We start from the raw sequence: 24092 nt of genomic DNA, 5'->3' as shown, positions 1-24092 counted from the left end.
CTCAAGCAATCCTCTCACCTCAGCCTCCCAAAGCACTGGGATTACAGGCATGAGCCACTGTACCTGGCCATTTTTTTAATTAGAGACCTACATATGCTGAAATGTGTTGATTTTAAGTCTAAATATCCTACTTCATTTAATGGTTTGTAAGTGGATACTTTAGTGTTGATGAAAAATACGAGAGTGTACCTGAAGTAGCTTACAGAAAAGAGCCCAGGTTACTGATATAGCATTCTCCTATGTGTATGTCTTTAAAATGCATAAATAAATATTCTTTAAGCAGTTTTATATTAAAAATATTTATTAAATAAATGGAAACAGCTCCAAACAAATATAAAAAAGTAAAAAGACCTGCAGCTATGATATAGATACATTAAAAATTATCTATGCCCAGTTCCATTTTTCATAATGTTAATTTTTAAGTGACCAATATTTAATATGGAAAATTGCTTGGATTTTGACAGCATGTCTGACTGAGAGTATGCAAATTGTACACAATCCCCATGGAAATGACCTTGTGACCCCTGCATTTTATTTAGGTCAGCGTGGCCAGCAGTAACCACCTTGTCCTCCTCCATGCAATTGTTGTGAGGAAAGGAAGAAAACTGTGACAATGACAGGGGTTGGGGGTTGGGAAGTGTGAGAAGCTGAGAAAGGCAAGAAGCCAGAAAGGCCTGCCTTGGGGAGCATGAAGGGTCTATGAGCCTGCGTGGTGAAAAACAGTTCTAAATTGTCAGCGTGCCAAGTGTAGCAAGGTGAATACATGTAGCTACCTCCTTCTCCTGCCCCGACTTCATGGGGGGAACATTTTCTATTTAAAGAAAGTGTGCACTCACCAAATTGATAGGATTATAATTAGGTTTTTCCCAGAAGAGGAATTTTAGGGTGATCTCGTCTCCTTGCTTTCTGCCTTGCCCCAGCTGCAGGGCTCCCTCTATACAGAACGATGCTGAATGAGCTTTCAACACTAGAAATCAATCCTGTCATTTCTTCACTAGACCCCTGGGCTTCCTAAATGAAGTCCGAACCGCTTAGCTTGGCATTCAAAGCCTATTGTGAGCTGGTCCTTGCCTTCAGTGCTGGCCTCAAATCCGAAGGTGATTTCAGCTTGACAGTCTTCTATGTAATTTTTATTTCATTTTATTTTTTATTGAGGTTATGTATACATAATATACATAATGTATGCTAATCAACAGGGTACAACCTTTTGATATTTACATATGTATGAATCTGTATGTAACCACACTCAGGTCAATACACAAAACATTTTCTCTACTCCACAAATTTCTCTGATATCCTTCTTAGTCTGTACATGCTCCACTTACCACTCCAGGTTTTCCCTGTTCTTAAACTTTATATAAATAAATTTATATAATATGTATTATTTTATGCCTGCTTCTTTCAACATCAGTGCTTGTGAAATTCATCCATGTTGTACATTTATTTAATTCATTCTTTCTTGCTTGCTGAGTTAGTATGTCGCTGTGTGAGTGAACCACAATTTATCCATTTTCTCGCTGCTTCTTCATATTTTTCCCATGGCACTCAGCATTGTATAAGGTTTGAATGCAAAGGCATGAGGAGGCCTAGCCACTGCCCGGGAGGCACTTTCCTGAGGCCTCAGGGGACAGTCACCTGGGACAGAGTCTGACCTTCAGCCCCATAGCCTCAGCAGCCTGGACTGTGAGCTCATGAAGAGGGACCTGGTGCAACCACGTCCTTAGGACTTAGAAAATCAGCACTCATTTATTTATTTATAGTGAGAAATACAACCGTCATATATTCAGGCGAACACATTTCATATATTTTTAAAACAGTTCTGTAATATTTATGTAGCCTTTCTTGCAAGGAACTATGAACACATTTAAATAATGAGCTGCCACAACATTCTGGTAAATAGACTGTTGGAATTTACAAATGAAGAATTTGGGACAAAAGAAAGAACTAAATGTTCTCAAGGCAAACTTGTAAGGGAAAAACACATCAGCTTTAACTATATCTCTGCTTTGCTTTATCCCAATTCCAGGAGGTAGGGCAGTCAACTAGTTAAGGCTACAGACTGGGGCCAGAGGCCTGGATTCAAATACATGCTCTGCCATCACCTCTGTGACCTTGGGCAAGTTACAGTGCCTCCTCATGCCTCAGCTGTGCCACCTATAAGAATGGGATGATAACAGTAGTTAAATGAGCTGAGAGGCAGAGTGATTTGAAAAATGCTGGCATGTAGTAAGCAACTTAAAAAATGCCAGCTGCCATTATTGTCTTGGGCTCTGTAAATTGTCACTTTCCTCATTATCAGAAAATTAGATCACATTTAGGCATTACTAACTACTAAGGCCTCAGCTTGAAGTCATAATGGTAAAACCATCACTTTTAAATTCCTGATGGACAAGGTATTTCCAGAGGAGAGTCAGTGTTGGCAATACTCAACACATATACTTTTTTTCCTTTTTTTAAAAAAAATATTATTTCATAAGTTATTGGGGTACAGGTGGTATTAGGTTACATAAACAAGTTATTTAGTGGTTATTTGTGAGATTTTGGTGCACCCATCACTCGAGCAATATACACTGCACCCTATTTGTAGTCTTTTATCCTTCACCCCCCCACACTCTTCCCCCTAAGTCCCCAAAGTCCATATCATTCTTATGCCTTTGCATCCTCATAGCTTAGCTCCCACATATCAATAAGAACATATGATGTTTGGTTTTCCATTCCTGAGTTATTTCACTTAGAATAATAGTGTCCAGTCTCATCCAGGTCACTGCAAATGCTGTTTATTCATTCCTTTTTATGCCTGAGTAGTATTCCATCGTATATATATATGCCACAGTTTCTTTATCCACTCGTTGATTGATGGGCATTGGGTTGTTTCCATGATTTTGCAATTGTGAATTGTGCTGCTATAAACATGTGTGTGCAAGTCTCTTTTTTGTATAATGACTTCTTTTCCTCTGGGTAGATACCCAGTAGTGGGACTGCTGGGTCAAATGGTAGTTCTACTTTTAGTTCTTTAAGGAATCTCTACATTGCTTTCCATATTGGCTGTACTAGTTTACATTCCCACCATCAGTGTAGAAGTGTTCCCTGATCACCACACCCATGCCAACATCTACTGTTTTTTTAAATTTTTTGATTATGGCCATTCTTGCAGGAGTGGGGTGAAATCACATTGTGGTTTTGACTTGCATTTCCCCGCTCATTAGTGATGTTGAGCATTTTTTCATATGTTTGTTGGCCATTTGTATATCTTCTTTTGAGAATTGTCTATTCATGTCCTTAGCCCACTTTCTGATGGGATTTTTCCTTTTTCTTACTGATTTGTTTGAGTTCTTAGTAGATTCTGGATATTAGTCCTTTGTCAGATGTATAGATTGTGAAGATTTTTTCCCACTCTGTGGGTTGTCTGTTTACTCTGTTGAGTGTTCCTTTTGCTGTGCAAAAGCTATTTAGTTTAATTAAGTCCCAACTATGTATCTTTGTTTTTATTACATTTGCTTTTGGGTTCTTGGTCATGAAATCCTTGCTAAGCCAATGTCTGGAAGGGTTTTTCCAATGTTATCTTCTAGAATTTTTATAGTTTTAGGTCTTATATTTAAGTCCTTAATCCATTGAGTTGATTTTTGTATGAGGTGAGAGATGAGGATCCAGTTTCATTCTCCTACATGTGGCTAGCCAATTATCCCAGCACCATTTGTTGAAAAGGGTGTCCTCTCCCCAGTTTATGTTTTTGTTTGCTTTGTCGAAGATCAGTTGGCTGTAAGTATTTGGGCTTATTTCTGAGTTCTCTATTCTGTTCCATTGGTCTATGTGCTTTTTATACTAGTACCATGCTCAACACATATACTTTTGATGGTAAATATAAGGAGATTAGAAAAATAAGACCAAGTATCAGAGCATCCCAAGATGTTAGAATGTTTTAAATGAATATATTGTATTAGGGACACTGGTTTATCTGTTTTGCTTTGTCTTTTTAGAATATGATTCTAGAAAAGCAAGGAAGGCGAAGCATTATTAAAGCTGAAGACTTTCTGGGATGTTGCTAAGGAAAGTCAGAAATCCAGGGCTACTAAGTAAAATTAATTCTACTTATTGTCCATAAATTAGGTCCTAATGAGGTGAGAAATTGCAGTGAATAGTTAAAGAATGAAAATATTTTCTCTGAATAAAAAGAAAAGCCAGGGAGGCTTTACCCTCTCAATTCTATCTTATTTCTCTTTAGCTACAGTCAGATAAAAAGGAAGCAGCTCTGAGAACCGGGAGATACAAACAAAACCATTCATGTAATTACCTTATACTGTCTGGGCAAGGTGAATGGAACACCTGTGAATAATACAGAATGAAGTCTTTGTAAGCATTGAATGATAAGTCACTCAGGGGCATTTTAGCTCAAGACCAGTTCAAAAGTAAAGGACAAGTGTCTGGCGAAGGATTTTGATTCCAAGCCAGAGTGACATGAATATGAAAAGTTAAAGATTCATGTCAGAAGAATCAAATGATGTCTTTAATTATTTATATATTTCAAAGGTTACCCTTAAAGAATAACTTGTTGATAAATGTGTTCAAATTACCACTCTTTTAATTAAGATAATTATTTTTAGGTAACAGAGTGAGAGAAAGGGAGAGAGAGGGAGAAAGAGAGGCAGTGGAAGGAGGGAGGAGAGAGAGAAATGAAAGAGATATACAGGAAGTCTGAGTATTTCAACGTGTTGGATTTTCAAAAACATGAGAGACCCAACGGGACTTCCTGGAAAAAACAAATTCCAGGCTTCCTGTTCTTGGTAAGATGCGATGTTAAATACAATGAAAAGGTTAGGCACGGGGACTCCTGAAATCAGAGGTCATAGTCTTGGGACTCCCTAATTAAACCTGCGTGAAAGCCCATTTTTGTTAATCTACACTGAGTTTTAAAATGTTTTAAAACACTATCAAAAAAGAAGATGTCATATTAAAAAATCCAATTTCTGGCTTTCCTCACAAACCCCAACATTCTGGCAACCTTGCAGCGTTCCTGCCTACTAAGAGTTGGCCGTACCTGAGTAGTGACAGTTCGTTTGCAGTTCAGCACAGCCCCAGTTTGGTCTGCCCTACCCACCTGTGCTACTGCTTTTTCAAAGCGAAATATATATGTCTGTTTGTAGAAGCAGGAATGAAACTGATGGGAATATTGTGGAATCTCTCTGGGATTAGGAATATGACACAATGGACAGGTCTTTGCTCCACCTATAAGGTGGCATCAGTCAGTTTTCGCGTAGCTATCAAGGTGCATATATTTGGATAACCACCTCCAGACTGAACTTCTCCAGGGCAGGGGATTCAGTCTCATTCATTGTTGTGTTCCCTGTTTAGCACAGTGCATAGCATACGGTTGGTGCTTAATAAATATTTATTGAATGAATAACAGATTAGAGGACTGTAATGTTCTCCACCTCTAAATCAAGCATGAGAAAGTATCTGCTTTTTAAAAAAGTATCTCAGTTTTCTGGGTATCATCTCTCCCCACCATATATCTATATACCATCCATTCATTCTGTTGACCTTTTTGGACCTGGGGAGTTCAACTCCCACTTACCAGCAAACTAGATAGGATAATCGCTGAGCCACCTCTAGACTCCCATCACTTAATATGATCCTCACAGGAAATAGTCCAAGAGTATACCAGCTGACGACCAGCTGCACGACACGGAGGGGAACACAGGGGATTTATCACTTGCATATCTGAACAACACAGATTATTTAAAATCTGGACACATTGGCTTCCACGAAGTTAATGAATAATTCTTGCATGAACCAGCTGCTTTCACTTTGTTAAAAGGACACTGCTTTTCATTGTCCCAACACATAGTTGCTTGGACAGATTTTTCTTAGGATAATGATGAGGAGAGCAAAGGTTGGCTGTTCATAAACTCTACTTATAAACTAGGTATTCCAAACTCAGTAGCCTCCACGGCCAGGCAGGTAATGGAAATGAGTGAAGCCTGCTGGGAAAGTGAAGAGGAACAGCTGCTCCTTGCAGCAAGTAACTGAAGCTATTGCAGGAATCTGGGCCCGCTGTTTCCAGGTCTTCCAATTTTTCCAGAAAACCCAGATGCCCAGATTTATAAGGACATTTCCCAATTAAAACAAAAAAACAAAAACACAAAAACACAAAACAGGCCAGATTGAGCCCAAGCCCTTAGGTTTTTGAAATCTGCTATTTATCCAGGTAGGGCATAACATTCCCTCATGAAGGCTTTTATGGTAGGCACCTTAGTAGCCTGTGACTAGCAATAGAGACTCCCTTCCCTTCCCCCTACCACACCACAAAGGGCCCTGGAAGCCTCTGAAAGGAAATCATTGGTTTTATTTTTTTTCCCTTGGGTTTATTCTTAATTAGGCATGTTGGAATCTTTACAAAAAAAAAAAACATATAAATGTAAAGTGTTTAACTCACAGAGTACCCATGTGAAAATGAATTAGTAGTATTAACTGGAGACAACAACAAAACTCCCTGCAGGCAGCTGAAACTGTTCTGCGCATTAACATGTATATGTTTATGTGTATGTGTGTATATGTTTATTTTTACTTGTTTTAAGAATGTTTTTTAATCCAAGTTGGACTTTAGTAGGTTTTTTTTTCCTTTATTATAACCATGGGATAGAAATGTATCCCTTTCCCAGAGCTATTTTGTTTTGAAAGTGGGGAAATGGGAAAACTTCAGGCTTTGATCCTTAGACCAGATTACTTTCTGTCTTACACTGAGGTCACAGACAGGACATGTGAATGGAACAAATGCTGAGAACTTGCACTGGCCAAAATCAAGGCAGTAGTTCAGGCCCCTCTAGCTTGATTGACAATAATAGGGACAAGGATATTATCATTTCCTTGCTGCTTGTGTATCCTGCTTTGTGGAGGAAAGAAAGTTGTGTCTAAAAGTCAAGCCATTTCTGATTTTTAAATTTTCATTTGTAAATTGGAGATATTAATAACTACTTTGCAGGAGTTTTGTGAACATTGCTAAGTTTGACATCTACAAGACACCTAGAAGAGTACCTAGTGCGTGGAAGGACTTAAAAGGTAGTAGGTAGTATTATTCTGATTTTTTAATTTTCATTTGTAAACTGGAGATATTAATAACTACCTTGCAGGATTTTTGTGAATACTGCTAAGTTTGACATCTATAAAACACACACACACACACACACACACACACACACACACAATATATATATTATATATTAAATATATTATATATTAAATATATAATATATATAATATAATATATATTTTATATATATATATATAGAGAGAGAGAGTACCTAGTGCATAGAAGAACTCAAAAGGTAGCAGGTAGCATTATTGTTATTACTTTATACTTTCATTTGTGCTTTATAACCAAGTATGGTCCTGGATCAGCAGTATCAGTATTCCCTGAGTACTTATTAGAAATACAGTGCCTCAGAGCCCTTTCCAGGTCTGCTGACTCAAAATCTCCTTTGTAGCAATATTTGAGGTGATTTGTGTGCTCAGTCAACCTGGACATACACTGCTTTATAAAGTACACTTTGTACTTAGAACTTTTCACATTTTAAATGTTAAATGGTGTTCTAAAACTTGAATTATTTTTACCACCTATACAAGATTTCCTATATCTGTGTTTCATCTGGACCATTATTTACTTAATAGATATTTTGAATAGTCTCAGCAGTTTGGGAGGTCAAGGAGGGTGGATCACCTGAGGTCAGGAGTTTGACACCAGCCTGGGCAACATGGTGAAACTCTGTCTCTACTAAAAATACAAAATTAGCTAGGCATGGTGCGGGCGCCTGTAATCCCAGCTACTTGGGAGGCTGAGGCAGGGAGAATCTCTTGAACCCGGGAGGCAGAGGTCGCAGTGAGCCAAGATGGAGCCACTGCACTCCAGCCTGGTGACAAAGCAAGGCTCCATTAAAAAAAAAGAGGATAGTCTTAATTTAAAAAAAAAAAAAAGACGTTAGCCTGCTCCTAAAAATGATATTGTGGGTCTTATATCCTAGCTATATTCATATAATATAGCTATATTCTATATTCATATGAAATAAATAATAGACTGTGAAGTTAAAAATGTCCTCCGTATACCCCTAAAAGCATCCTGGGTATCACTGTGACACACACCCTGTCTTTCAAGCAACACTTTCCCAGGGGCTCACTATTTACAAGAAGATTGTTCTAAGTGGTTTAATAAAGCAAAGACTCTCAATAAAATACTGGCAAACAGAATCCAGCAGCACATCAAAAAGTTTATCCACCAAGATCAAGTTGGCTTCATCCCTGGGATGCAAGGCTGGTTCAACATATGCAAATCAATAAACATAATCCATCACACAAACAGAACCAAAGACAAAAATCTCATGATTATCTCAATAGATGCAGAAAAGGCCTTCGACAAAATTCAACAGTGCTTCATGCTAAAAACTCAATAAACTAGGTATTGATGGATCATATCTCAAAATAATAAGAGCTATTTATGACAAACACACAGCCAGTATCATACTGAATGGGCAAAAACTGGAAGCATTCCCTTTGAAAACTGGCACAAGACAGGGATGCCCTCTCTCACCACTCCTATTCAACATAGTGTTGGAAGTTCTGGCCAGGGCAATCAGACAAGAGAAAGAAATAAAGGGTATTCAATTAGGAAATGAGGAAGTCAAATTGTCCCTGTTTGCAGATGACATGATTGTATATTTAGAAAACCCCATTGTCTCAGCCCAAAATCTCCTTAAGCTGATAAGCAACTTCAGCAAAGTCTCAGGGTACAAAATCAATGTGCAAAAATCACAAGCATTCCTATACACCAATAACAGACAAACAGAGAGCCAAATCATGAGTGAACTCCCATTCACAATTGCTACAAGGAGAATAAAATACCTAGGAATCCAACTTACAAGGGATGTGAAGGACTTCTTCAAGGAGAACTACAAACCACTGCTCAACGAAATAAAAGAGGATACAAACAAATGGAAGAACATTCCATGCTCATGGATAGGAAGAATCAATATGGTGAAAATAGCCATACTGCCCAAGGTAATTTATAGATTCAATGCCATCCCCATCAAGCTACCAATGACTTTCTTCACAGAATTGGAAAAAACTACTTTAAAGTTCATATGGAACCAAAAAAGAGCCTGCATTGCCAAGACAATCCTAAGCAAAAGGAACAAAGCTGGAGGCATCACGCTACCTGACTTCAAACTATACTACAAGGCTACAGTAACCAAAACAGCATGGTACTGGTACTAAAACAGAGATATAGACCAATGGAACAGAACAGAGGCCTCAGAAATAACACCACACATCTACAACCATCTGATCTTTGACAAACCTGACAAAAACCAGAAATGGGGAAAGGATTCCCTATTTAATAAATGATGCTGGGAAAACTGGCTAGCCATATGTAGAAAGCTGAAACTGGATCCCTTCCTTACACCTTATACAAAAATTAATTCAAGATGGATTAAAGACTTAAATGTTAAACCTAAAACCATAAAAACCCTAGAAGAAAACCTAGGCAATACCATTCAGGACATAGGCATGCGCAAGGATTCCTGCCTAAAACACCAAAAGCAATGGCAACAAAAGCCAAAATTGACAAATGGGATCTAATTAAACAAAAGAGTTTCTGCACAGCAAAAGAAACTGCCATCAGAATGAGAGAAATTTTTGCAATCTGCCCATCTGACAAAGGGCTAATATCCAGAATCTACAAAGAACTCAAACAAATTTACAAGAAAAAATCAAACAACCCCATCAAAAAGTGGGCAAAGTATATGAACAGACACTTTTCAAAAGAAGACATCTGTGCAGCCAACAGACACATGAAAAAATGCTCATAATCACTGGTCATCAGAGAAATGCAAATCAAAACCACAATGAGATACCATCTCACGCCAGTTAGAATGGCAATCATTAAAGTCAGGAAACAACAGGTGCTGGAGAGGATGTGAAGAAATAGGAACACTTTTACACTGTTGGTGGGACTGTAAACTAGTTCAACTATTGTGGAAGACAGTGTTGCAATTCCTCAGGGATCTAGAACTAGAAATATCATTTGACCCAGCGATCCCATTACTGGGTATATACCCAAAGAATTACAAATCATGCTACTGTAAAGACACGTGCACACATATGTTTATTGCAGCACTATTCACAATGGCAAAGACATGGAACCAACCCAAATGTCCAACAATGATAGACTGGATTAAGGCAATGTGGCACAAATACACCATGGAATACTATGCAGCCATAAAAAAGGATGAGTTCATGTCTTTTGTAGGGACATGGATGAAGCTGGAAACCATCATTCTGAGCAAACTATCGCAAGGACAGAAGACCAAACACCGCATGTTCTCACTTATAGTTGGGAATCGAACAATGAGAACACTTGGACAAAGGGCAGGGAACATCACACACACTGGGGTCTGTTGTGGGTTGGGGGGTTGGGGAGGGATAGTATTAGGAGAAAAACCTAATGTAAATGACAAGTTAATGGGTGCAGCAAGCCAACACAGCACATGTGTACATATGTAACAAACCTGCACGTTGTGCACATGTACCCTAGAACTTAAAATATAATAATAAATAAGTAAATAAATTTAAAAAAAAAAAAAGGAAAGACTCTTTTTCCAATCTGAATAATCATTCCTTGGCTTTTCTTTTTTATCAATTCAAACTAGGGCCATATGATGTGACAGAAAATATTTTATCAGTCTGATAGACCAGAGATATCACTTTTAAGCATGTATCTGGGCCAGATTCCTTCCTCCCTTCTTAACTTCTATCAACATCCACTGAACAACCACTGCATGTCAGCCCTTGTACTTAGCATGGAAGACAGAGTTGAGGAAGACAGTGCCCCTTCCCTAGCATCTTACCATCTGGTTGGTTGTGGTAGTACAGGAAAATGTGACAAAGCTGATGGTAAAGCAACCCTTAGGACATCGTGGAGGCACAGAGCAGGGTACCTGCCCCAGCCAGGGGGTCTAAGCAAGGCTTCCAGCAAGAAGTAAGGCCTTAGCTCAAACCTAAAGGATTGACAAGGGGAAGAGTCAGGGGGGTATGCTCAAAAGGGGATATAGCCTGGGCAAAGCTGCAGACCAAGAACCAGTAAGGCACATCTCCCAGTCTCAGTTTCTTCATTTGTGATAAGAAACAGGAAGGATACTTACCACATTAGGTCATTTAGAGTAAAAACTCCAAGGCTTGTGTTTATATGAGAGAATTACCTCTGCATATTCACATATACAAAGCCAGAAGCAGTGACAAGCAATAGCTATAGTTCCACTCACAGATATATACCCAAGAAAAATAAAAACATAGGTCCACATAAAAATTTGTATACAAGTGTTCATAGCATCGTTATTCACAATAGCCAAAAGTGGAAACAATCAAATGTCCATGAATTGATAAATAAAATGAGGTATACCTACACAATGCAATATTAGTGGGCAATAAAAAGAAATGAAGTATTGATATGTGCTACAGTATGAATTAACTTTGAAATGCTATGTTAGTGAAAGAAGCCAGAAACAAAAGGACCCATACGTGATTTCATTTATATGAAATATCCAGAATAAGCAATCTATATTCTATAGATTCTTATAGATTTATAAATCTATAGAGACACAAAGTAGATTAGTGGTTGCCTATGGCTGGAGGTGGGATGGGAGAGGGAGTGATTATTAATGGGTGCTGGGTTTCTGTTTGGGGTGATAAAATGTTCTAAAGTTGATTGTGGTGAAGATTGTACAATTCTTTCTTTTTTTCTTCCTTTTTTTTTTTTTTCTTTTTTGAGACGGAGTCTCGCTCTGTCACCAGGCTGGAGTGCAGTGGCATGATCTCGGCTCACTGCAACCTCTGCCTCCCGGGTTCAAGCAATTCTCCTGCCTCAGCCTCCTGAGTAGCTGAGATTACAGGCATGTGCCACCACGCCCAGCTAATTTTTTGTGTGTGTTTTTAGTAGAGATGGGGTTTCACCATGTTGGCCAGGATGGTCTCGATCTCTTGACCTTGTGATCCGCCCGCCTCGGCCTCCCAAAGTGCTGGGATTACAGGCGTGAGCCACCGTGCCCGGCCTGATTGTACAATTCTTTCAATATACTAAAACCCATTGAATTGTAGACCATAAATGTTTGAATTGAATGGTATGTGAATTATATCTCAATAAAGCTATTTTTTAAGTGATAGCTAACACTTTCATAGCATAACCTAGGCACAGCTCTAAGTGTTTTATATATGTTAACTTATTAATTCTTACAATATCCAATGATATAGGTACCATGATGGTCCCCAGAAAAGACTGCCTAGGGCCACATGGCCAGTAGATGGTAGGGCTGTGATGCAAATCCATGGGGGCTGGCTTTGGCACACACTCACTTAATTTCCAGCCTACACTGTCCTCGCTTGGGAACCATCAAAAGCTTCAGTTTTAGATTCAGATAAACCTGGGTTCTGATCTCATCCCTGCTATTTATCAGCCAAGTGATCCTGGACAGGCTACTGAACTCAGTTTTCTCATATGTTCAATGGAGATAATAATAGTGCATACCTCACAGGATTGATGTTTAGCACAGGGACTATCTATAGTAAGCTGTTAACAACTATGAGGTCCTTCTTTATGCAGAGTTATCTCTGATTTGAGAACTGAAAATCACTACCTAAAAGCAGCAGGCAGGCTAATACCAGCCAACTTGAAGAGTCAGCTTACTATTTCTGCAAAGACAGAATTTTGTTTTTTGTATGAAAATGGCCTAGTAAACTAGTGGTCTGGCATGCTGCTTTTTACATAACATAACTTAAAGTCTTAAATGAGGAGAAAAATATTTGCACATGCACTAAGCGTTTGAAATGTTGAAGATCTGCTTTTTATGGCATGAAAATAAGCAGAAGTGTGGGATGGAGAAAGAAATGTGTCACTTCCCCAGCACTGGCCTGCAAGGGCAGAGTGACCTTACACAAGAAGAAAAATGCCAGTAATTTCCAAACTAATCTAATTTTAAATTTCTTGATTTTTCATTTCATTATGTAGAGACATATTTATTCTTGGAAGGAAAGAACAAAAAACCCGACATTAGTGATAAAATAAGTCATATAAGTTTTGCTGGCAAACTCATACTGCACAGTGCTACAGAGTTCATTTGCAAGACAGGAAGCAAGTCAAAGTCCATTGCAGTTCTCTGCCCAGAATGTCTCTTTGAGCACAGTTTGTGACTGGAATTTTTTAAATTTTACTTTGGGGTTGGCATAGTTTGCTGCGGTATGATTCAGTCTCTTCTTTCATCTCCTATAATTTTCCTCCTAACATTCAATGGACCCGCTCTGGGGTTTCCACATCATGGGAAACGTACCAGCATTCATTCTGCTGTTTAGGCCACCTTTGATTCCTCCTTTTCTCCCCCATGGCCAGTGGGTAGGTACATTTGCTAGGCTTCCTCCAAAATATATCTTGCATCTTTTCACTTCTCTCTAACCCCTTTGCCACTATTTATCCAAGCCACTTACATCTACTGAAAGGACTACTGCAATAGTTTTTTAAATGTTACCTCTACTTCCACTGTATTTCCCTACAGCCAATTCTCCATGGAGCAACAAGAGGTATCTCTAGAAATATGAATAAGATCAAACTTCTGCCTAAACTATCAGTGGTCTAAATTCAAATATATGATTAGAATATTTAAAAGGTGTTCAACATTATTATCATCAAGGAAAGTAAATTTAAAGCTACAATGAGATATTACAGATTGAGTAGCCCTTATCCAAAATGCTTGGGACCAGAAGTATTTTGAATTTTAGACTTTTTTTTATTTTGGAATCTTTTTATATACATAATAAGGTATTTTGTGATGAGGCCAAGCCTAAACACAATATTCGTTTATGTATTTTTAACAATTTTTTGCATATAACTTATACACATAGCCTGATGATAAATTTTTATAATATTTTAAACAATTTTATGTATGAAACAAAATTTGTGTACATTGAAAGCCAAGGTGTACATCAAAAAGCAAAGGTGTCACTATCTTGGCCACCCATGTGGACAGTCTGTGGTTGCATGGCATCACCAACATTCCTGACTCTGAATTTATATGCTAACAATAAGTAATCATTTTCTAACACTTATTTACACATAATCACTTAACTGTAAAAAATATGACATAATATTAATACAGTGAAAAAATAATGTGGTTTACAGAAACTAAGCAGAACAGCAGCATCAACAGAATACCTGTATTAGCTGTTAAACAACAGCAACAACAAACAATGGCAGGCTTTCAGTCTCTACCGATGATGCTGTGTTCTGTTTAAAAGGTTACTACATACACTTTTTTAAAAGGTGAAAAGAAACATCAGAAGCACTTGAGGGACCAGCAAGTGGGTCCTCTATGGATGAGGAGGCTTTCTGCTGGATGGCTTTTAAAAATATTTCCCCCAGAGTCATCTGCCTCATTAACTATGGTTTTTGTGTTAGAAGTCTGATTTTATACATTGCCATGAATTCTTACTCTGTTAGGAATGCACACTACTCTAGTCCTTCAATAAGCCCATCATAGATTTTTACCATGTCATCTATAGGTGATTTTTCTGCAGTGTTTTCCACTTGTGGTGTTGTGTCAGTGCTCAAAAAGTTTTGGATTTTGGAGCATTTTGGATTTTAAATGTTTGGATTAGGGATGCTCAACCTGTACTATGCACGCACCAAAACAGCTAAAATTTTAAGAATTAAAAAGACTGACAATACCAAATACTGTTGAGGATGTAAAGAAGCTAGAACTTTCATGCACTGCTAGTAAAAAGGAATATATGATACATTTGGAAAATTGTTTGGCTATATCTAATAAAGCTAAATATATGCAATTCTACGCCTGGGTATATACCAGAATAAATGAGTGCCTATGTCCATCAAAAGTTTCAACACTATTTAACTAGCTTTATTTATAATAAACAAACATTGGCAACAACCTAAATGTCTACTAACAGTACAATAGATAAATGATTGTATATTCATACAACAAAATAGAACAAGTAATAGAAAAGAATGAACTACTGGCACATCCCATAACATGGATGAATCTCCCGGATTAAGCAAGTGAACACGTACAAAAGTCTGTACTGTATGATTCTATTTATTTATGTTCAAGAATAGGCAAGACTAATCTGCCTTGACAGAAGGCCAATTATTGGTTACTGGACTTTACCTTTGCTAGGGACTGGGGACGGGGTGGTTAGATTGAGAAGTGGCATGAGGGAATCTTCTGAGGTTTGGAACTGTTCTATATCTTGAACTGGGCTGGATAGTTGTTTCATGAGCTGTGTGTGTGTGTGTGTGTATGTGATTGTGTGGTCAAGTTGTACAATTTTTGTGCACACTATAATTATGAATGTTTTTCTTCAGTTATAAAAAGTCAGTGGCATCCCAATGCACTTACAATTGACTCTATAAATCATATCATGGTCTGGCGACTGCCTTCCTTTTCTCATCTCACACTTTATTCCTCCTTGTTCTTTATGCTTTTGCTGCACAGGCCTGGCCTTCTAATTTTCTCTTACACATGCCACTCCCTAACCATTACCCTCTTTTAATTTCTTCATAACCCCTTCCATCATTTGAAATGATCTTATTTGATTACTTATTTATTTCCTGCTTTCTTGCTCTAGAATGTCAGCCTCATGAGAGTGGAGTCTTTGTCTGTCTTATTCACTCTCTTTTCCCAGCACGCAGAATAAGACACTTGTAAGACTCAGATATTTGTTCCATAAATTGATATGATCTTCAAATATTTGCAAAAAGTAACACTGCTGAGTGTTTACAATATCTCCATATTCTTAACAATATCTCAGATGAAAATGTAGCTATTATGACCATTTTGTAAATATCTTACCTGACAAACTTATTCATTTATTTATATTTATTTAATGTAATAAATGTTTATCAAATGTTCACTACAAGCAAGGTATCGATTTAGCTAGTATTGTCTGGGGTACAATAAAGAAGAATTGAAAATACAGCAGACAGGAGTAGTAATTTCGGACTGTGTCCTAAAGCTAGCCTAGGAGTGGAGGAAGGTCATTCCTTCATGTGAGACTGAGGGGGAAATATGGGTGGGGATATAGATAAATTTATGGTGGAGGAAGTGGAAAATGTTGAGTTCTTACTTGATGGTTTCTATTTCCTCCAAAGTAGGAAGCAGGATCACGTGCTAAAACAGAGAAGGCAGGAGTAGGTTAGAAGGCTTGAGAATCTTCAGTGCTTTCTTGTTCTTGATACATATGGGCACCTCTCCCAAACTGAAGGTTTGCAGGGTGGTGCAGTGGCAAGGCAAGGAGTGAGGGAACTAGGGGTCTTTGTAAGTTGTGGAAGAAATGATATGCAGAATGGGGACTCAAGAATGGGGGTGAAAGGCTATAAAGCCAGGAAGAATTCAGAGAAAGGAAGAGATAAAGAGGCTATTGTAATATCCAGATCAAGATGATGGCATGGTCACACAGAAGGGTGTCTTCTGTGTGATTCTTTTCAAACACAGAGAAAAACATTTTAAACCAAAATCTAGATAATAATTACATGAGCATTTGGGGAAAATGATGAGTCAGGAGGGAAGTCACATTGCTCTGTCTTGTGCAGGAAGAAGCTAGATATATGGATTAACTATTGACTTTATTAAAATATATAAACCTAAGTCTGTTAAAACCACTAAATGATTAGAACTAGAATGTGTAATTTCCAAACCTGTTGAAGAAAAAGAAAAGGAATTAGGATAATCCAAAAGAAGGCAAAAAAGGAGGAAAAAATAACTTCATAAATGGGGAATATAAAATGTCAGAGATAAATTGTCAGATTTAAACTCACCTACTAAAGGATAAGACTTTTAGATAGGCTTTTCAAAAATGCAGGTATATATCTGTTTATAAGTTATGTACCTCAAACAAAATAACACAGAAAAATTACAAATAAAGGCATGAAAAAAGACATACCAGAAAATTAGTGACAACAACAACAACAACAAAAAGCTGGCCTAGCAATACTAGTACTAGATAAAAATGGATATTAAATTAAAAGTATTTCTAGGAAACAAGATCTTATACAGACAATGAAACTACTTACCAAGACAGTAGGACAACCATAAATTGGTTTGCCCTTAACAACAAATTTGTTGTTGTGGAGGTTTGGTGGAAGACTGGGAAATTGGCTCATTCAAAATGACTCAACCTTCTGTTTGTCATGAAAAAGACTACATTTCTCAGTTTCCCTTGCATCTAGATTCTTCACATGACCGAGCTTCTGCCAAGCAGAGATTTGGAAGATGAAAGCAACTACTATGAGCTGGTGGCCACAGGTTCTTCTGGTGGCCGGAAGGGCAGTAGAGGTGCTCAGTTCTCTAGGGACAGTGATTGCAGGAGTTCTCAAATTCTGGTGGAGTATTGAAGTGGCTAAGTGGCAGGCAGTGGCTGGCCATGGGGTTTCTGCATCATTGTGGATGTTTCTCCTGACTGCTCACAGTCCGAGTAATACCCAAGCTTGGCTCCCCAGCTTCCCAGAAATTCTGTAAGCTAACTTGGATCTTGTAATAGTCCTGTTCTGCTTAAACTAGCTGGAGTGTATCACAATATGACATGGTATGAGCTGTGCTAGAGGTAAGCTTCAAGCACTATAAGCACGTGTGGGATTCTAAAACTCTGAGTGGGGGCAAGTATAGAATCCTCATAGGCTTCTTAGAGCAGGTGATAGCTGCAATATGAGCTGAAGTATGAGTTGGAATTAGCGAGGTAGAGGCAGAAAGACTAGGAAGGCTTAGAGAAAGAAGGAACAACATGTGCAAAGGTGGAGCCCAGAAGTTACAGAACTCTAATTAGTTCAGAATATCCCTAACACAGGATGAGAGGTACAGAGTGATGAAAAAGGAGGCTGTAGCAGTGGCAGGGGTAATTCACAGATGGCCATGCATGCCAATTTGTAGAATGCAACTGTTGTTTTTCTTGTCTGCTCAGCACCTTGGCTGCTTCTGCTCTAATCTTCTGCTCCCCTCTTTCCACTCCAATACACACACATTTCCTTTGGGAAACTACTGCTTCTCCACTCCAACAGGTGATTCTGATGAGCCTGTCAATCATGGTACCCTCATCTCTGATGACAGGAAAGGGCTCTTGTTCTAGGTCTGACCACTCCTGGTAGCCATTCCTATGAGTATGGTGATTGGTCTAAGGTGGGGCTGTGTGTCAATTCTGACCTGTCAGAGTCTCCCTGGGGGATTTTTAAAATTTAGGACTGGCTCACAGATTTGTGAATTCTGGTAGCCATTATCTGCCATAATCCTCCCTTAATCTCTAAGGAGAAAGTCTGTCTGTGATGGAAGAGACTTATGTAAAGTAGAAAAAAGTAACAATGAGAAATGGAAGAGGAGATATGAGAGACAGAGAGTTAGTTTTAGCAAGGACAAGTCTCAGAATCTAGGCCCTGACATGGCTACCCTAGTTCCTGTAGCCCTTATGTCATGCTGATCAAAGCCTGACCAACATACCTATTTATAATCAAGTTACTCATAGAATTTGTTTATGCATATTTTAGTAAACATTTCTCCTCCTCTTTTCCCTCTTGTTCATTTTTGGTTATTGTATAATATTCTATTGAATTTAAATATCTTTATCTAACTATTAGGTTATTTCCTGTATGTCAAACATTGTTGGTTTGGATTTGGACAGAAGATGAGGAGAGAGGATGTGGCATAGTGTTTGTGAGCTTCAGCGAATGGCATAGAAAAAGGAATGGAGGGGAGAAAGTACACAGCATGTTTAAGGATTAACAAATAATCCTGTTCGGCTGGAGTTGAAGAATGGTGGGAACAGAAATAGCTGTAAAAATACAGTCTCTGCTGCATAGTGTACTAATGATAGGGTAACTGAACATGAAAAAAGGTGTGCAAATTTGTACTATATTTATTGCTAAAAAAAAAATAAGGAAGTTGTCATGGACAAAATCATGGGGCAGCCACATGGAAACTCCAGCATGCTGTTCTAAGAGCTACAAATTACAAGTGTTGGAAAGAATTACTATAACTATAATAATCTGACTCAGCATTGTGAGGACTTCTTTTCGTTCATTCAGTTGATTTTCTGTAGTTTGAAGGAGTTCTTAAATTCTGGTGCTACTGTCAAAGTGGCGAAGTGGCACGCAGTGGCTGGTCATGGGGTTTCTGCAGGATGTTGGATGTTTCTCCCGGTTAGGTTGTTCACAGTCCAGGTAATACCCAAGCTTGGTTCAAAACTACAGAAAATCTACTGAATGCGCTAAAGGAAGATTTGAGAAAATGAAGAATAGTTGACCAGGTGAAAAGACTAAATTTTATACAACTGTCAATTATTAAATTGATAGATTTGGTTGCAGTGTGTGTAGAAGGGTGTGGGTGGGGTGCTTTTTCCCTACTCCTCTGGTTTTCATGAGGAGAGATGTTGTGAGAATATAATCTGTCATAAAGTAGGCATCAAAATCTACGAGTTAAATCATTATTTAGTAAATGATACTGAAACAATTGAATACATGTTTAGGAAATAAATCAGAATAGATCCTCATTTTATAGTTAACATCGTACCAAATCCAATATGGAGTAAAAAGAACATAACAAATCAAATTTAAAATACCAAGATGAAAAAATATATGCCTTTGTAGTAGTTGTAAGTGAGAGGAAGTAAAAAGGGATCGGGGGTAGTTTCTGAACTTGAAAGTGTTGGAAGAAATGTAAAAAAGAAAAAAATAGTGCACTTGACCACACAAACATTATAAATTTCTATAAGTGTTTTAGTCTTTTAATTAAAACATTCTCAATAAACTTAGAATAACTTTTGCATCAATATGAAAAACAGCTTATTATGTAAAATGCTCATGCATATGAATTGAAATCAGCAAAAACATAATTTCTAAACATCTACCCCAGGCCAGGTCTGTGCTGGATACTTTGCAAACATTCAGTTAAAAAAACACTTCAAGGTGGATGTGTCCAGTCAACCCAGGTAGAAACTCAGGGTCAGAGTTATATAGGGGTGTGCATAGTAATTCACCTAATGGAGCATCTTTTGTTTTTTCCTACGAAATAACTGTTTCTTCCTAGCCCCACCGCAGCCAGGTTCATAATTGAACCCTGATTCCCTGCAGGTACTTTTTCCCTGTGTTCAAGGGAGTCTGGCCTCCTCCCCAGACCAGGAAGTGGGTTCTGAATCGTCTCAATGTGGAATGGAAGGTGTGATTCCAGTGATTAGGAGTGGATATGTGGCAAATTCTGGCTCACAAGAGAGGGAGAAATCATCTCAGGGGCTTTGGAAAATAATTTTTTGCCCTTATAAACAGACAGTGCCTTTTTTTGTTTCTGGATGCTGTTGTGTGTAAGTGTGATACATGGAAGTCTTCACCTGAACACAGGGTGATGGAGGATGGAGGAGTGGCTATCTGAAGGAAATCAGAGTTTGATTATGAACCTGGCTGAGGTGGGGCTGGGAAGAAATAGCTGTCTCATAGGCAAAAACATAAGGTGCCTCATTAGATAAGTGACTAGGCATGCCTCTACACATCTCTGACCCTCCGTTTCTACCTGGATCAACTAGAAATGTCCAACTTATAGCACGTTTTTTTTTTTTAACTGAATGTTTGCAAGTGCATGATCTCATGATCAAGTGGGTGGGGCAGAGCCACACCATCTCAGGGAAAAAGGTCTGAGCCCTAATCATACTCATCCCTTCCCCCATGCAGCTCTATTTAGGGACTTCCTCTTTTGGGAGATAGTACATTTCCTTAATATTTAGTCCTGTGGAAACTGGGTGTTCCATTGCTCACTGCCAAAGGCCTAAATAGTGCAAGTAAATTGAAGAACTGAGGTTTGAACCCATAGAACACACAATTCTAAATGGGAATATAAACAATTAACTAACACTTGGAAAAGAAGTTTCGGCAATTCTAAATGGGAATATAACCAATTAATTAACATATGGAAAAGTTTCAGCCTCATTAGTAAGCAAAGAAAGGTAAATTAAGCAAGATTGAGAATCTGTTTTTTAAAAACTACTACATGACAAAAGATTTTTTTGATGGTGAGTACTGCCGTACTTTGCTGGCATTTGAGAATGTAAACTCCCGTAGCTCTTTAAAAATAATAACAGCAGCTATCATTTATCCAGTGCTTACTACATGGCAAGCAGTATGCAAAGCAAGCAAATGGATTTAACCCTTATTCCAGTGAAATGAGTATTATTATTATCTGCAGTTTAAGGATAAGGATTAAAGAGATCCACTGACTTGCTGAGGTCTCACTGGTACAAAGGACCCTTTGTGGAAAGACGATTCCATAAATGAACCAAACATGTGCCAATAGCGCTGGTCAAGTAGAGGCCCCCCTCAAAAAATATTTTTGAGAAAAAAATTTTAAATAGAATTTGCAATTTCATGTTAAAAAATAAAAACATTAAAGTAGATACCACAGGGAAACATTCATTATGAGCCATCCTCACAACCGATTTTCAGCTAGGTGTTGTATTTATTTGAGTTTCCTAAATGAGTGTGTGGGTAGCCCCACACACTTATAGTTGCTGAAGGCCTCTAAGTGTCTCTCTCCAGCCCAGGGAGCTGTGATTCAACCTGATGTGACTCCAAAGCCTGTGCTCATCGCAGACCACAGGGAATCGACTTAGAAAGTAATTTAGCAAATTAAATCAATAGCCTCAAAAACGTTCATATTTCTTAATCTATTAAATATTGTGACAAATTGTAAAAGCTTTAAGAATAAATACACGAAAGGCAGAGTTCCTTACGATAGTAAAGATCAGAAATTAATACAAATGTTTAACCATAGGGACCTCATTAAATTATGTAATGCAAACATTAAAAACAATCTTTATGAGGACATTATAATAAAGTGGGAAGCTGTATTATACAATGTCAAGTAGGAAAAAAATTGACCTATAGAATATTTATAAGAAGCAGAACTGCAAAAAGGAAAAATTTAAGTCTATACAGAAAAAACAGTAAAGAAAAGCACTTAAAAATATTAACAGAGGCTGGATCTTGGTATAATGAGTAATTTTCTCCAATTTCTTATATTTTCTGTAATGAGGATTTTCTCTAATAAGTACTAATGAGTACTATTTTAGAGTAGAAATCATCCTAAAGATCTTTATTTTTTAAAAAAGGAATAAAGGCCTGGGAAGTAGTCTTTATATAGGAAGTAAAAATTACTGAGAGATGGAGAGGCTTCCCCATGAAGATATCATGATTATGATTCCTCAGTGTCAAAGCAAAGGCTGGGAGGAAACACCCATGGCTGGCCTTTACTCACAGTTTCCAGCACCACCCAATGTCAAATATTTTGCCTCACTGTCAGACCATGTGATTCAATATTTGATTCAGGAGTCATGTCATGGTAGACTTATTTAAAATGTATATGCTCATGAAGCATCTGGGTAGGTTTCATATGTTTGTGGATCATTAAGCCCAAAAATATCTAGGTAAGTGCAGAACTAAGAAGTTAATTAGCAAAATAAAATACTATAATGGAATAAATCTATAAATGTCATTATTATAATTTATTAAAATTCACTCCCTCTTTTTGGAAATTCCCATGATTTCTGTATCCCCCAGCGGCTTCTGCTGGTTCTCCTGTGATTCTGTCTGGCTGTTCCTTCTCTCTTCTTTGAGGCTTATCACTCTGTGCTTCCCTAAAAGGTATAAGCTCACCTGGTCTGTCCCAAGCCCTATGCTTTTCTCTCTGTACCCTCCCCAGGAGAACCTCATTTATTCTATTAGTTGCTGCGAACCTCTGTATACAAATCACCCTTCAACAGCCCCTCAGAGTTGGTACTCGATGGCTTATAAATAAATTTAATATAAAAGATTTCATCAGCCTTCATTTCTGAATAACAGATAATTCTTAAAAATGATTATCAAAGAATAAGCATATAAAACAATGTGTTAACCTTTGGTGACCCTTTCCGCCACTCTGACTGTCTGACAGCTGATGCTTCAGTCTTAAGATGCACAGACTATGTCTTGCTTTCAATGTACTTCCTCTAAAGCCACTTCATCACAGTTTTAACAACTGCCAAATTAATGTAGTACTTCAAAAAATCCATTGAGAAATACCCTATGTTGAAGAAGTAACTCGGAGGGTGCAGCCACTCCATTGCTTCCTAGCTGGCTAAACCTTAGTGAGGGATCAAGGGTGACCCCTACTGAGTAGGATGTCCATTCCCAGTATGAATGTATGTGTAAATATGACATCCCCAAATTATCCTTCCAAAGCAAACTGTGCCTTTCCTTGTAAATGGTTTAGATCACATTTGATTCTCATTGCTTTGCCTTATCTGAGAATCAAAGCATTTGTGTTGTCATCCCATCAAAAGATCTGAGACAGGGCACATCAGCCACTTCTCCTTCCTCTTTCCCTCCCTTGGGGTCACTCTTAACTATTTTGGGCAATTCTTGCTCATCTGCACAAGCTCAATTAAGTATCTCCATGTCTTCTGTCCCCTCCCTTTATTGTGTTTGTCCAGTTGGTAGCAAATCATCAGCTCAACAAACATTTTTGAGTGCCAACTATGTATGAAGAGATGTGCTAGGCACTGAGGAGTGCAAGATAAAAGTAAAAAGAATCTTCCAAAGTAATTCTGTCCCTTTCCTCTGGTTTCCAGGCCTGACCTGAGCTGTCAGCCACTATTCCCAAATACAGTTGCTTTGTGGCTGGAGCTCAGTGTCAAAACCAGTAAGGAGCCAGCAAAGGTTACTTTGCTCTCAATCCCAACATTTATTACAACTTTAACTTACAGCTACAAACTTAGGCGTAAAAAAAGACTGAATTCAAGATTAGACATTCCAAATGCTCCCTAACTATCCCATCCTAATATTTGAAATGTTCTTTCTTACATCAAATCCTCCCTCCCTCTTCCTTCCCATCTAGCAGCCTTCTCAGGCAGTAGCATGACTTAAACCCATATAAACCATTACATTCACAGACAACTGGCTTTCTGTGGAGCTACGTGAAAAAAATTGAGACACTCCCAAGATCATAACTGGCCCATTGTTACTTGTTTCCCCTTTCACAGCA

The sequence above is a fragment of the Homo sapiens genome, chromosome 3 (assembly GCF_000001405.40).
Source record: "Homo sapiens chromosome 3, GRCh38.p14 Primary Assembly".
Lineage (NCBI taxonomy): Eukaryota > Metazoa > Chordata > Mammalia > Primates > Hominidae > Homo > Homo sapiens.
The sequence above is the reverse complement of the archived record's forward strand: the minus strand, read 5'-3'. Positions refer to the sequence as shown.